Source organism: Homo sapiens, chromosome 6 (assembly GCF_000001405.40).
Source record: "Homo sapiens chromosome 6, GRCh38.p14 Primary Assembly".
NCBI lineage: Eukaryota > Metazoa > Chordata > Mammalia > Primates > Hominidae > Homo > Homo sapiens.
This window is the reverse complement of record NC_000006.12, coordinates 57,129,325-57,144,023: the sequence shown is the minus strand read 5'-3', so window position 1 is coordinate 57,144,023 and position 14,699 is coordinate 57,129,325. Positions and strand designations below refer to the sequence as shown.

The window sequence follows — 14,699 nt, the reverse complement described above, 5'->3', positions numbered from 1 at the left end:
AACTACTTTCTGTGTCTACAGATTTCCCTATTCTGGAATTTCATGTGAATGGAATCATATAAATGGACTTTTTGTGACTAGCTTATTTCATTTAGCATAATGTTTTCAAAGTTCATTGAGGTTGTAACATGTAATCAGGATTTCAATCCTTTTCATGGCCAAATAATATTCCCTTGTATGGATATGTCCAGTTAAAAAAATCCATTTGTCAGCTGATAGACATTTGGGATGTTCCCATTTTTTTACTATTATGAATAATGCTGCTATAAACAAACATACAAGTATTTGTGAACAAGAGCAAGTTCACTTTGCTCTTGGCTGTCAACAAGCAGAAATTGCTGGATCATATGGTAACTCTATGGTTAAATGAGGAAAAAAGAGATACGTATTTTTAACTGAATAAAAATGAAAACACAACTTATCAACATCTGTGGCATGCAGGTAAAGCAGTGCTTAGTGGGAAATTTATATTTTTAAATGTTTATATTGAAAACAAAGATCCAAAGTCAATCTAAACTTCTACCTTTAAGAGCTAGACAAAGATAAGCAAATTAAACTCAAAGTTTAAAGAGCAGAAATCAATGAACTAGAAAATGGGCAAACAACAGAGAATTGCCAGGGAAACCAGACAATGGTTGTTGTAAAAATCAACAAAAATTTGAAATAGATTATAGAAATAAACATAAATATTTAAAAATATCAAAGCTGAATTTAGGGAAATAAAATACATTCTTTAAGCAAGAAGAGGCAAGGGTTTCTCAGGACACAGAAAGCATAACCATAAAAGAAGAAAATAATCAACAAATTATACACCTAATGCAAAGAAAAGCTTCTGTTCATCAAAAGGTATAATTAAAAATATGAATATGCAAAATCACAGGAAAATATACTCATAAATATTTGTATATTCTAGAAATTCCTGTATTCTAGATACGAATCTGACAAAAGATTTGTATCTAGAATATATAAAGAACCCCAACTCACTATTAAGAAGGCAAACAATCCAATTTTGAAGACTGGCAAAAGACTTGAACAGAGATTTCACAAAGATAAACAAATAGCCCATAAACACAAGAAAGTGCCCAACATCATTGTTTATCAAGAAAATGCACATAATAAACTAAAATGAGACACAAGAATAGCTAAAATGAAAAAGAGTGGCAATATCAAATGTTAGCAAGGGTGAAGAGTAACTAGAACTTTCATACCTTACCTGTAGGAATGAAACTAATACGACCAACTTTGGATATTTAGTAGGTTCTCATAAAGTTAAATATAAACCTACTTCTGAACCAACAATTCCACTTTTCAATGTCCATCCAAGAGAAATGAAAACATATGACCATGAAAAGACCTGTGCAAAGTATTCAAAGCAGCTTTATTCATAAAAGCTATAAATTGTAAACAACCCAACTATCTATCAACAAGGGAATGGATCAACAAATTGTGCTATATTCACACAATACTACTTACCAATAAGAAGGAACAATGTACTAAACAATATAGATAAATCTCACAGATACTATGGCAATCACAAATCATACTGGACTCTTTCTTGGTTACTTGATAAATTTGGCCTTTCATTGAGATTTAATCTTTCAAATGTATATGATACTTTCCATTCTGGTTGACTTAAAGCCAAGGTTCTACTTTAACCCTTTCCTCTCCTACTCATACTTACAGAACACACACAGAAGAACATACACAAAACTTAGAACTGTTAGCTTGCTTTACACTTGCAGAATATCAATATATCCACGTTTTCCACAACTCTAACTTCTCTCACTATGTTAAATTTGGCTAATTTCCAGGCAACTGTATATTCTCATTTTAAAAGGAGAGAAACATGGAAAGAAAATGTATTTGTTGAATCTTCTCACTGGCAAACACTCATCCGTATTCCTTTACAGCTCCAGACCAATACAAACCTGAAATGGGCAGTGAGCTCCATGTGGGAACGCAGTGTCTTGTGGCAGGCCACACACTTAACTTGAAAGGGAACATCTTTGCACAGAGAGATCAAAAGTTTCTTTGCAAAAGATGGGAAAGATATTGGATGTGCAATTCCTTTGTTATCTGAAAGACAAAATAAACTATAATTTGCAAAGTTATTTGAGTACAGAGTAACCCAACCTTCCTCCCCTCAGCCCTTCTCAACATTAGTTGGAGTAAGTAAAAGAAGACAGTTATTTTGGCAATAAAAATCTAAGGGAAGCCACTTTCTAGCCTTAAATACAAAGAATGCCTTACTTATACTCAAATTAAAATTTGAGTCTTAAATGCCGAGAAACAGAAAACTTCCAAGATATCATGATATAACATAACATTATCCTGAATAAATATTTGCTTCCCAGGATTTCTTCAGTCTTCAAAGTTAGTAAGCCTTACTCATACGTACAAATAAATATTAAGAATCTTTGTTTTTAAGTAGGAATTGAGATAATCTTTTACTTTCATAGTTCTAAAACTAAGATGAGGATATGTAATCTCAAGAATGATCTGAGAAGTATGATAAATCAGCAAAGATTCAAGTAGTTTAATTTTCAGCAGAAGAGAGTATTAACATACCACCCAGTTTGAAACTCTGATGGAAATGATTCTTTCCAGACATATGCTTTGAACACTCCTCCTTTCTGCTAAAAAGAAGGAAGCAATTTGGACATGCAAAACACTGAATAATCTGAGGAAGAAGGTTGTTGTTATGTCCATCATCTGTGGCTTCCTAAAATATAAGACAAAGCTGTATTATGGAAAACTAAAATAAACACTCAAGTTCTTGAAAAAAACTTTCAAAATTTCCTATTTGTTGTTTATTCGCAATATCCTGTATCAATTTTTAACATGAAAGATGTTCTTCCCTGAGTGTGAATTATGGAACTTTTATCATAACCGAGGTCCCAAATGTCAAATTTTTAGTTTTTTTTCCTCAAAACCAAATTATGGCCATCTGTTGTAGTAACAAATATAGAAGAACATTTGCTTTCTATATAGTTTTCATTTTTACATACACATTCACATGTAATATATAAATGCATAAATGTGATCACACCACATACACTTTTCCTAATGTTTTGCTTTATTCACTCTACCCTGCATTATTATTCTTCCACAAATTTATCCATGCTTACTCAGTTACAAAGACACATAGAAATAAGGGGGAATGTCATTGTTTTATCAAATATTATTTTATAGGCTCTTCTGCCTATTAGTTTTCTCATTCCATAGTACCTAAAGGAAATCCCTAAAAATCAGCTGGTATATCTCTAATTAATGCTTCTTAATGGTTGCAAACTACGCCATGGTGTCAATCTATTCAACTCAGTCAACATTTATTTTCAGTTTTTTTCTTTTTTTAAGTTTTGGGTTTTTTTTTCCCACTAGAAATAATGATCTTGTAAACATCCTTGAATATATATCCTTACTGGTAGGTGCTTTTTTCTTATTCTCAAGAGTGGCCCTACAGGGCTAATGGGTATATATATTTGAATATTAAAAGACACTGTATGACTGGTTTTCAAAAAGGCTCTACCAATTCACATATCCCCTAGTACTGAATGAGCCTGGCAGTAATATATATTACAGATTTTTTTCATTTTTGTCAGGCAAATTTTTGTATTTTTGGTAGAGACAGGGTTTCCCCACGTTGCCCAGGCTGGTCTCGAACTTCTGGGTTCAAGTGATCCACCCGCCTTGGCCTTCCAAAGTGCTAGGATTACAGGCATGAGCCACCGTGCCTGGCCTTCATTGCTACTTTAATTTGCATTTCCTATCTATAAGTGAGTTTGAGCATTTATTCATACATTTTTTGGCTACCCAGATGTGTTCTTATGTGAATTTTTTATTCATATTATTTAGCTTTATTTCTCAATTGTTTTGTTTTTTCTCCTTCTGGTCAGTTTGTATCAGTCCTTTGTTACTGAAATTAATTCTCTGCCTCATTTTCCATTTTGCAATATTTTTTCAAATATCTATTTTGTTTATAGTCTTCTTTATTTATTTTTGAGACACGAGCTCACTCTGTCACCCAGGCTGGCCCACTAGTACCCTTGACATCCTGGGCTCAAGCAATCCTCCTATCCCAGCCTCCCAAGTAGCTGGGACCACAGGCATACACCAATACACCCGGCTAATTTTTTTATTTTTTGTAAAGGCAAGGTCTTTCCATGTTGCCCAAGCTCGTCTCTAACTCCTGGACTCTAGCAATTCTCTTGCCTTGGCCTCCCAAAGTGCTGAGATTACAGGCATAAGCCACTGTGCTCGGCCTATGGTCACTTTTTAAATTTGACACAGTCAAATAAGTATGTCTTTTCTAGCATCTAAGTTTCTAAACCTTGTTAAGAGCCTCCTCTACCTTAAAATAGGAAATTTTAAAAAGTGTGTATTTATAAGTGTATGTATATTTGTGTGTGCTTGTTATAAATATAATTTAACTTCTTGTTAATGGTCTTTAGAGTAATAGCCTCAAACATTGTATTGTGCCTCATATTTACTATCATTAACACTAGAACCATCAGTATAGTTTGTGTAGTGCTTATGAGATGCAACCAGAAGAGAGATAAAAAATTTTTATTTATACCGAGCACATGTCAGGAACCACACTGAGGTTCTAAATATGTTTACCTACTTAATCCTCATAATAATCCCATGAGGTACCATTTTCATTGTTTAGAAATGAGAAAATTGAAGTTCTGATAAGTCAACCAACTTACCCCTCCTCCCAAGTTGTACCCCTCCATAGAAAAGACAAACTTCCATTTAAACCCAGCTTTCCAATCTTGGTTATGAATTATATGCTGCTTTCACTACTCCCTCCCCACCACACTCCCCTCCTGTTTTAATTTGATGAGTGCCACACAGAAGAAATAACACCGAGGAGGACATTTTCATTCCAATTTGAAGATTCTAAATGATAAGAGCAATAAAGGCATTTAGTAACCACCAATTTATACATATTTCTCCTACTTGAAGAACCCTAAACTCATTAAATCATTTTTAGTTTAATTGTGAGTTATAAATGAACTCACATAAAGTTGTTTAAATGATTTGCTCAACAGAACCAAAATGTGATTCTACATAAAATTTTATTAGAATATACTTATTACAAAAATATGGCATACTTGGCCAGGAGCAGTGGCTCACACCTGTAATCCCAGCACTTAAGGAGGCTGAGGTGGGAGGACTGCTTTGCCCAGGAATTTGAGACCACCTCTCTCTCAAAAAAAAAAAAAAAATTTTATATATATATATACACACACACACACACACACACACACACACACACATATATATATATATATATATATATATATATATATATATGGCATAGCTGCAAATACATTCTACAAACTGGGAAAAGGAATGGGAAATAAGATATCTGATAAGTTAAAGTGCTCAATTCCTTTTTACCATATTTCTGGTTACATTAAAAGACACCATACAAATTTGTACAATAAAAAAAGTAGGGCTGGGCATGATGGCTCATGCCTGTAATCCCAGCACTTTGGGAGGCTGAAGCGGACAGATCACAAGGTCAGGAGCTCGAGACCAGCCTGGCCAACGTGGTGAAACGCCGTCTCTACTAAAAATACAAAAAATTAGCCGGGTGTGGTGGCAGGCGCCTGTAATCCCAGCTACCCAGGAGGCTGAGGCAGAAGAATCGTTTGAACCCGGGAGGCAGAGGTTGCAGTGAGCCGAAACTGCACCACTGCACTCCAGCCTGCACAAGACAGCGAGGCTCCGTCTTAAAAAAAAAAAAAAGGCAGAACCAAAATACCATTTCACACCCACTAGACTGGCTAAAAACTGAAACCCACAAACATTGCTGGCGGGAAAGTAAAATGGTGCAGTGCACTAGACAGCAGTTTGGCACTTCTTCAAAAAAATTAAAAAGGTACCATATGACCTAGCAATTTAACTCGTTAGAGGAATTAAAACGTATTTTTACACAAAACTTAGATGTTGGTTTATAGAAGCATTGTTCGTAACAGCCAAAAAGTAGAAACAACCCAAATGTCCATCAACTGATGAACTGTTAAATACAATGCGGCATATGTCCTTACAATGAAATATTATTTGGCAATGAAAAGAAATGAAGTACTGATACATGCTACCATATGAATAAGCCTTGAAACACATTATGGGAAGTGAAACAATCTAGTCACAAAGGCTGTATATTGTGTGATTCCTTTTATATAAAATATCCACAATAGATAAATCCATGGAGACACAAAGTAGCTTAGTGGTTGCCTAGGGATGAGGAAGATGGGTTAGGCAAGGAGAAAAGTCACCTTAGATGATACAGTAGCCCTAGAAACAGAATAACCAGTGGTAGCTTCAACAGACTCACAAATGACACTGAGGTACAAAGGAGCTCACAGTATATCGACCACCACTATCACACAACAGGGAGAAAAGCAGGGTGCTATCTGGTGATGTAATAGCCATTGGATGGGTTTAGGTGTCAAAAGCCACTAGAAACTTGCTACTCAAAGTATGACTCAAGGAACGACAGCAATGGCATCACCTAAAAGCTTGTTAGAAATATGAATCTAAGGCTCCACCTGAGACATCTTGAGTCAGAATCTGCATTTTAACAAAATTTCCAAGTGATATGTGTGTACATTTAAGTTTGAGAAGGCCTAGTCTAGAGTGAAGAAATTGAAGATGAAAGAAAATGGGGGAGGGGAGCAAGGAAAACAATGCAAATTGTGAATAATTTGACTTTTTTCCATTGGGGACTGCCTCTTTACAAAACAGAATTCATACCTATAAAAAACAGCGAGGCTTATACAATCTTCTAGTGACCTCTTCTTGTTGATTTAAAAGAGGCAATTACAACCCCCCATGCATACTAGTTTTCTTTAGAGTCCTTGTGGTGACACAAATGTCAAGGAATAAGCAATCATTGAAGGTTACAGGTCAGGCCTGAAATAGAGTATTACATTTTCTCTTAACAATCTCGTACATAAGCATAACGATACCATTTTAGGGATGAAGAAACTAAACTCACAGATTCAGTAACCTGTTAAGAATATGAAGCAAATAATAGTAACAGTGGAACCCAGGTCTGTCTGATACCAAAGCCTTTGCCCTTTCTATGTTACCATACTGCTTTTCAGAACGCTGAAGGTCATAAATCTACTTCCTAGAGAGACGGCAAAAAGGAGTGCAAAACAGCATGGAATGTGTGATTCCGAGAAAAAAGAAAAAACAAATTAATGAAATTTGGGGAAAAAAATAAGTGAAAAAATTCATTTTAAACTACCTACTCAAATTTACTAAAGAAAACAGACATATATACTCATTATAGTAGAGAAAACACTCAGTATATGAATAGGGAAACATGTCCTGAAAGAACTCTAATTCTGGAAAATGCAGAACATCAGTAACCTACTGCAAACCCTAAAGTACGGAATGCAGTTCTCTTTCACCCTTTTTCCCTTCCTTCCCCAAATCTTCCATTTGTCATGGAAATGGATAACCCTATCATTTCTTTCTTCAATATGTCTTTTGGTTTCACTTTAAGGTCTTCATTCTGAATGCCATTACCTAAGTCAAACAATTCTCTCATCTCAGAGCTAAATTACTGTAAAAGTCATCTAAACTGGTCTCTTTGTCCACATCTTTGAATCCATTCTGAACAATACTGCCATTCTAATGCCACTCAGTCTCTTCAGGGTCTCTAAAAAAAAGGAAGGAATTGGGCTATAGAATTAGAAGTCCTTCTAACTTTAAAAGAATAATGTGTTATTTTCATCATGTCACTGTTCTATAATAGTTTCTTCTTGCCAATATCAAGCTTAAAATCCTGTGTCTTTATGATCATGTTACTATTTATTTTTGTTAGGAATCCCCAAGACTACCCTACTACAGTGCCTAGTCAATGTTGAACAAGACGCAGGCTCTCCAAAAACTAATGAGTCAGTGTAAAATAAAATCTGCTTCAAGATGCACATCTGTTCTGGGAATGTTCTCTAGTGCCAGGACAGAGATGGGGAGGACTGCAGAATTCAATTAGATATACTTAGAATGCAAGCTTTAATTCTCTGCTGTGAACCTACACAGAATCCAAGCTATTCTCCATGTTACTTTCCAGGTATAGCTCTAGATAGAAGCAAATTCTGAAAACATTAACTAAATAAATGTTTTACTATTTCAAAATCTAATATTTATTCGGTAAATCCAATTTGATATTTACTCAAATATCCAAATATGGATATTCTCAAAGGTTTTTAGTTAACAGAATATTTAATATGGCATAGTTTTTAATAATAGAAAACAAACAATACATCCAATGGGAAATTTATTAAATTAATACTATATTCATACAGAAGAAAACAATTCAATGATTTAAAATGTAGAAATGTATGCATTGATTCGATGAATATTTAAGCTTTTATGTTTGCAACACACTGCTTTAAATCACAGAACAATTTAGATATCTTATCTTATGTAAAAACATTTATCTATATATGGAGTAATACTAAAAACACATATATCAAAATCTTAATCCCAGTCCTTATCTCTGTGAGATTAAGGATGACTTCTTGTCTTTTTGTTAATATTTTAAAAATTTTTCATAATGAACATACATTACTTCTGCAATGTTAGTAAGTCATTAAAGTTATCTACTATCAAATATGGTAAAAACCCATTAGAGTTCTGTATTACATGGATGTGCATATCCATGAATCAACTCATGTCTCTTAAGATTTAACACTTACTTAGAATTATATGACATAGCTTTTTAAATACTAGTTATATTCCTCAAAAACTAGCATTAATAACTTGTCATTTACTATATGGCGCCAACATTTCAACAAGCAGTGTAAGACAGTGGACTTAAGAACAGGGTTCTGGTTCTCATCAAGTGACTCACTCAGAGCATCTTGAACAAGGTAATTTAATTTCATAGAGCAACTCCATGAAAGGATTTTGATGATAATCTCTAGGACTGCTGACTGTAAGGTATCAAGTTTACCTGCCTATAATAACTAAATGGCCCAAATCATTTTATTTTCAATTGACAATTACAGTTTTGATACTTATGTGTATCACTGGTAATTGCAAGCTTAAGAACAGCAGGAAAAAACCTCCACTTAACTCCATGGCTATCTAGAAAAATAATACTTTTAATTTAGGACATGCTCTTACCTTATCAAAAAGGTGATCTCTATATTGTTGTTGAGTAACAAATTTTTTATAACATACTACACAAGCAAAGGAGCTGAAGAAAGGTCCATGTAGTGTAATTGTTGGATCACATGGAGAGTGATCGAACCTACTCAGCAAAAGAGGTAAGAGGTAATATTAGATAAATCTACATTCTAGGGAAACAACTATGTCGCTTCATTTGTGAAGCTAAACACATACACACACATTCAGAACTTTGCACTTTTCTACTGAAATATTAAGTAATGTTCTTCATATACAGTAAATATCAAGTGGTTCCCATATGCTCAGCAATTCCCTCAGATAGTGACCAACAGTTAGTGCAAGATTTCATATGTACTAAATATCCGGTAAAATAGATTTAGACATTTCTTACCAAACTGGTAAACTTCTCGTTTGAAAATTGTAAGTCCAGCATCTTTTACTTCTTGCCTTGGTTACCATAAGACTCACAACTAACTTTAAATACATCACTGCAATAATAATCTCATGCTAAGATTTCTAGTACACTTGTTTCCCATAATGGCTTTTAATGTTCATTTTTACCATTTAATAAATCTGCATTATTTTAAACTGCCTGGAGCACTTTAGCTAAGGTATAGTATGCTATCAAATTTTGTTCCCTCCCCGACCCCAGGTCCAGCTTTGACTTTACCTGGTTTTTTATAGAATGCTACAACTCCCTCTAGAAGCTTCTCTTGATAAGGTAAGGCATAAGTAGGGTGAGACATATGGAAAAGACAATGGCTTAGAGCCCCAAACTCTCAATTTCCCATTCTTCAGCTATTAGAAAGGGAGGCTATGGGGAGTCGAATGTTTAATACAACCTTCCCTTGATACCTTTCTCAAGCTCCACTATTCAAAAATTCAGTAAACTGGCCGAGCGCGGTGGCTCACGCCTGTAATCCCAGCACTTTGGTAGGCTGAGGTGGGCAGAATGCTTGAGCTCAGGAGTTCAAGACCAGCTTGGGCAACATGGCAGAGCCACGTCTCTGCAAAAAATACAAAAATTAGCTGGGTGTGGTGGCGCACAACCTGTAGTCCCAGACACTCAGGAGGCTGAGATGGGAGGATGGGAGGATCCCTTGAGCCCAGGAGGTGGAAGCTGCACTGCACTCCATCCTGGGCGACAGAGTGAGATCCTGTCTCAAAAAAACAAACAAACAAACAAACAAACAAAAACCACCAAACTCAGTAAATTGATAAAATGGGTTTCAATAAATAGAATTTTTATTATTAATTTTGCTTACATCAGTTTGCTTTTAACATTTATTTTGTAATGCCTATTACCTTTCTTCAGGCTAGACCAAATGTCTGTACACGCTCCTTGTCTCTTGAAATTTACATTTATGGGCTGGATTTCTCTAAAACTAACCTATCTGGATTTTGATGGAGAAAGTCTGTTTAGAACTTTATAAGCTGTATCAGGGAAAAATAAATATTTAAAAGCTATACCCATAAAGCTGAAAGCTACACCCACTAGAAAAATCTGACTTCATCAATTATGAAAAAATTATATCATAATGGCACAAAATAATTTGAGTTTGGAATATAAAGCTATATAATCATAATGGCAAAGGAGCATTACGCTTTCATTTTATGAAATCACTTGGTAGCTCACTAGATCTTCAGCATTCACTATTATGAATATCCTACTTACCTTTTCAAATGTCCTAAGAGAAGGTGCCCATTGTCAAACTCCTTGTTACAGTGCATTATAGGACATAAAATTGGTTTCCCAGACACCCACGTGTGGCCTCCTCTTCGGAATGAACTTTTTGTTCCACAATTAATTGTGCCTGTTTTGAGTCCTGCATCATCAGAATATGAATTCTTAGGTTATTATTTCAGATACTTATCCTTTGGGCTAGTGATCAAAATTAGGACAAAACAATGAAAATTATGACATAGCATCAACTGGATGATGCTAATTATAATTGTTTAAAACCTCTCTTATAAAAGATATAATAACCTAAAAGTAAATAAGTTATGACCAAAAAAAAGCCCTTAATATCACCAAGTAGCATTCTCTTTTTTTTTTGAGATGGGCATCTTGCTGTATTTCCCAGGCTCAATCAATTCTCCTGCTGTCGCTCAAACTACAGGAGCACGCCACCATGCCCAGCTCCAAGTAGCTTTTTTCCCTTTAGGGAAAAAAAATCCTTTTCTTTAAGCTCAACAGCTAAAAAATGTTAAAGACCAAATGCATTAGAAGGTTACGCCCCTACTCCCTTCATTTTGAGCAGGTGGGCCTATAGGCACATGCCACCATGCCCAGCTAATATTTTTATTTTTTGTAGAGACAGGGTCTCTCAATGTTGCCCAGGCTGGTCTCAAACTCCTGGCCTGAAGTGATCCTCCCACCTTGGCCTCCCAAAGTGCTGGGATTACAGGCATGAGACACTGTGCCCAGCCAGATCTTTTCCTCTAATTCTTATTTTCTCTTTTAACTATTTCAACTGTGTTATAAATTTAGCTATATTATAGAGGGTCTGAGCTCTATGAAAATTATATTACACAATGTAACTGGGGTAGAGAGGATGGAATGAAGAAAGCAGGGAAGCAAGGAGGATAAGTGTGTTATTTTCTGAGGAATCAAGCCACTGATCAATCAGTTCCAGTCTAGACACATCAAGTAATACAAGTGTAAGGGATAACACATTTATAGAACACAAAGCAGAGATTTACTTATTGTTGATACCTCTCCCCTTTCTACTTATCCTATTTTGTCCCTTCTCTTTTTCCCTTTAAAAAGCCAATTAGGAAACAGTTTGTCCACAATTTTTTTCTCTTAATTAATCCTCCTTTATCCTGGTCCATTCTTCATCCCTTTCTTTCTTTATAATTTTGATCTTAAGGTCACACAACTTGTAGATGAATCCCCCAGCCAAATGTCCTCGGGGCAACTCCCAACGCATGATATATGAAGAAAAATTTAAACAGTTAAGTTGTATAAAAAACAATTGCAAAACAACCACAAGTATTCTGATTCACAGACAGTTTGATTACTCTCTGTTTTATTACTATCTCTTGTGGACTAATTTCACTCAAATGCTTTGAATATTTCATACAACAAAAAGCTAAATATTTATCTTTATTGAATTTTCTACAAAGCCCCTAAGCATTTAAATAGAATTATTCCCTTAAGACAATATGATTTTTAAATCCCAAAATGGTTATATATGATTAAGGTTTTAATTGCTTTTCCTCTCTTTTAGTCTTTATTGGGGGAATACCTCTATCAAACTGTCAAAATGTTTATAAATATGTTCTGACAACAAATAATGGACAGCATGGAATTAATCATATTTTAGTCTTAACAAGGCATTAAAATGGCAATATACTTTAACATTCTTAATGTAGTAAGAATTATGAAAACTGTTATAATTGTCCACCCACATTCCAGATGTTTCCTATTAGGACCTTTATTTAGCTATAAATAGTGGCTCTGGATAAAAATAAAGTTGGAGAAGCCAATTTCTGGGTGGAGGGGTGGGGAGGCTTCCCCATGGAAAGGCAAAATACAGAGATTTAAACAGCTTTTGTCTTAAATAATACAGACAGCATTTTTAAAAATTATAATACTAAGTATTCAAATTTATGCAAACTGGCCAACTCTAAAAACCCATAAAGAATGGATTGTCCAACATTAGAATAATTATAAATAAGGTACTTAAAATACTTCTAATGAAAGAACTGAATTATAACAGCTGAGTACTGTATTTTGAAATAGATTGAATGAGTCCTTTAATGCTACTGAGAAGTAGAATCTCACTCTCTATAATTAAAGAGAACTGTGATTCCTCTCTATTCCCCAGCTATATGCTCTTAAAGGATCTCAGCACTCTCTAAAGCCCATTTATGGAATAGCACCATACCAAATATAGCCCAATACTACACAGCTGTTCAAGCAATAGATTCCAAACTTTATTTTTACATTGCCTCAGAGACCAAGCAAAAAGCTGAGCCCATCACACAAAAAAGATCATAACTACAGACCTTAACTCCAGGCTTAAGCTTATCAGCCATCAAAAAGCCAGTACTGAAAGGCAGAGAAAACACTAATCTTGAAAGTACCATAAAGACACAGCTAAATAACTCATTTGATCCCACTTGACCTGCTCAGGGAAATACATAAACAGATGCTCAAGATTCATTTTACAATGCATTATAATATTCTGACAACCTGGAGGCCAGATATTAAGCTTGAAGGGCATATTACTGGCCCGACTACCATTCTGTATAGGACTTGAAAGTGTCAGACTCATGAGATAATTTTTAGAAGAGATCTAGAGATGATAAAGTCTTCTAGTTCTAGTCCATTTTCCTATCCACCTAGGGATCTTTCCCAAAAGTACAGATGCCCTAGAAGAATCTCTGGAGATAATAAGGTGTAGGCATCTGTTTAAAAGGTCCCAGAATATTCTGACGCAGCAAAGATGACACCACTGAGCTAGTCATTAACTTCTTCCACTGAGAAGAATGTACATGAAGAGGGATTTTTAAAACTAAAAGCTTTCAAAAAACACCCCAAGAGGCAAAACCATTTACCATATTTTCTATGTGTCTTTTGCCAAAGTAGATCTGGAGTGCCATATAATTTTTTTGTTTAATAACAGTCAGATTTGGAGCCCAAGTTCTAGGCTTCCTTTCTGTGTTCATTATGCAAATATTTATAGCCTACCTCTATAAAAATTCAACCAACATTTATTGAGTATCTCTATGTTGAGCATTCTTTTAAGGAACTGACGCTAAAAAGTATTAGTAAGATTTGGTCTTTGTGCCCAAGAAGCACATAGCTGGGTGGAAGAGACAGACATATAAACGGATCAATCGAACATAATAAATACTGTATTAGTGAAATGAATAAAGTATTGAGATCACAGATGGCTGAGCAACCAAACTTATATAGAATAAATCTAGATAAGCTTCTCACATAATTGGACATGATATACAATAACCATATTCACTCAGCAATCCCTAATACTGTATTATTTGTTGGCCACGTATAAACCCCACAGGCAAGTAAGAAGAAAACAAAGAAAAAAGGTTTTTGGGGGCAGGAGGGGAGTTTGCGAGGCACAGGCAGGTTGATAAGGAGAAAATATAGTTTCAGGGGGTGCCAAGTGTCTAAAACATCGATTATGTCAGGTATCAAATGGAATGAACTGCTAAATACCAATACATGTAAATTATTAGAATTCTTTTATAAGTGGCAATTTGATTCCATTCAAAGCAAAGCCCTTGAAAACTAACTTTAGAATCCAAGATACCTAGGTTCAACAAAGTTAAGCATTGCATGCATAGATATTTCCATGAACTTTTGTAATTAAACTTTGTTGGATTAAATCCACAGCTACAGTTTCTGTGGATATCCTAACTCTTTAAAGGCTCAGTAGATATTCTTCAAGACAAGACAGGAAAGTTGTCATGGTGGGACTCTCCTACTGGCTCTTAAAAATTCCACCAAATTATCCGGTGGAGTAAGACATGTTCCACAGCAACTCTTCAAGGAATCTCAGATCTGC

At 35.0% G+C, this 14,699-nt stretch overlaps 1 protein-coding gene and 1 long non-coding RNA gene across 8 annotated transcripts in view; one reads left to right on the top strand and one right to left on the bottom strand.

Moving 5' to 3' along the window:
- ZNF451 (zinc finger protein 451) overlaps positions 1–14,699 on the bottom strand; it is an 80,118-nt gene that overhangs the window by 26,282 nt on the left and 39,137 nt on the right. For all 7 annotated transcript variants that reach the window (XR_007059234.1, NM_001031623.3, NM_015555.3 and 4 more), the window contains 4 exons: positions 10,832–10,982; positions 9,154–9,280; positions 2,569–2,722; positions 1,929–2,076 (listed from right to left, as the gene is read on the bottom strand). Coding sequence is in view for 6 of the 7 variants with exons in the window: in NM_001031623.3 (NP_001026794.1) it covers positions 1,929–2,076; positions 2,569–2,722; positions 9,154–9,280; positions 10,832–10,982 (580 nt within the window). In the remaining variant the exon portion in view is untranslated. The remainder of the gene's footprint in view (positions 1–1,928; positions 2,077–2,568; positions 2,723–9,153; positions 9,281–10,831; positions 10,983–14,699) is intronic.
- Positions 1–14,699, top strand: part of ZNF451-AS1 (ZNF451 regulatory antisense RNA 1) — a 57,303-nt gene that overhangs the window by 28,190 nt on the left and 14,414 nt on the right. The gene's annotated exons all lie outside the window — the stretch shown is intronic.